Source organism: Homo sapiens, chromosome X, assembly GCF_000001405.40.
Source record: "Homo sapiens chromosome X, GRCh38.p14 Primary Assembly".
In the NCBI taxonomy this organism is placed as follows: domain Eukaryota; kingdom Metazoa; phylum Chordata; class Mammalia; order Primates; family Hominidae; genus Homo; species Homo sapiens.
Genome location: NC_000023.11, coordinates 30,822,228 through 30,823,671, shown reverse-complemented (window position 1 = coordinate 30,823,671; position 1,444 = coordinate 30,822,228). Strand labels below are relative to the sequence as shown.

Sequence of the window (1,444 nt, the reverse complement as noted above, 5' to 3'; positions counted from 1 at the left end):
AGACAAATAGTGAATATTATCAGTTTGGTTAAATCTACTATAATAAAACTTTATACCTCCCAATAACCAACTGTTCTTTCAAATGTCCAAACATTTACCCCCCAAAAAATCGAGAAAACCTCAATTTCTAAAACAGAATTAAACAGGCCACACTTTTCTGATTGTAAGGCATCAAATCTAAAAATAACTAAAATCAAGCCACCTGAAAATTAAAAGAAAAAGCTCTTCTAAATAATTAAAAAATGGAATAAAAAACAATGTCAGATTTAGTTCAGGTGACTCCTCAACAAGAGCCTGTGGCAAAGACATTATCTCAAACTAAAAAGATTTTCAGCTCCCAAAGAACAGGAGAAAATAGTGCCATATCCCAGTAATGTTTTATACTGTGCAAATGTTGAATTATTTCTAGATGTAAATGAATTGTCCACACTCATAATAGAAGATGTTGCACAAAGAAATAATTCAGAACTGTAGTCGACGTCACTTGTGGGAAATAACGTTTCCAACACAAGATGTCTCTATGCAAACTCTAACAGTGAAATGGAAATGTCAAAATTTGTAGCCCAGCTATAGTCTGAGAGAATACTCTGTCTAATATGGCCAGTGTCAAGAATCCTTATGAGCTGGAGAGCTCTGGGGAAAGAGTTGGATCAGAAGTATTCCAAGGCCAAGCTGATGTGTAACATGTGTGAGAAAGTGTTCTTAGAAGCCAGCAGCTTTAAAATGCATGTGAGTATACATAAAGGAGTCAAACTCTGTATCGGCCACGTCTGTGGAAAAGTATGTACCCATTGTAACCAGCTGAAAACTCATGTAAGAACTCATATGGGTGAGGAGCCTTACAAATGTGAATTATGTGATAAAGGCTTAGCTCAAACATGCCAGGTAATCACCCATAGTCACATGTATCACGGTAAGGAAAAAAAAAACCTGTAAATGTGATATATGTGATTTACAATTTGCAACTTCTAGCAGTCTCAATACTCACGCGAGCACACTGATATGGTTTGGCTCTATATCCCCATCCAAATCTCATGTCAAACTGTAATCCCCATGTGTTGAAGGAGGGGCCTGGTGGGAGGTGATTAGATCATGAGGGCGGATTTCCCCCTTGCTGTTCTCATGATAGCGAGTTCTTAGAGATCTGATGTGAGTTTCAAAAGTGTGTAGCACTTCCCCATTTACTCTCTTCTCTCTCCTGCCACCAAGAAGGTGCTTGCTTTCCCTTTGCCTTCTGCCATGATTGTAAGTTTCCTGAGGCCTTCCAGCCATGCTTCCTGTTAAGCCTGTGGAACTGTGAGTCAATTAAACCCCTTTCCTTCATAAATTACCCAGTCTGAGGTAGTTCTTCATAGCAGTGTGAAAACAGACTGATACAGACACCTAGTGGAGAGAAGCCATATGTCTAAGAAAGAGGAGTGGACAGAGATTTGCCTAATCCAGC

At 39.1% G+C, this 1,444-nt stretch overlaps 1 pseudogene, besides 1 other annotated feature; it reads left to right on the top strand.

Moving 5' to 3' along the window:
• Positions 240-991, top strand: LOC100418759 (myoneurin pseudogene; annotated as a pseudogene).
• Positions 993-1,042: a silencer, noted in NCBI's record as "silent region_20726". NCBI's record gives its function as "represses an Ori minimal core promoter by ATAC-STARR-seq in GM12878 lymphoblastoid cells {active_cell/tissue: GM12878}" and the evidence as "EXISTENCE:reporter gene assay evidence [ECO:0000049][PMID:35858748]".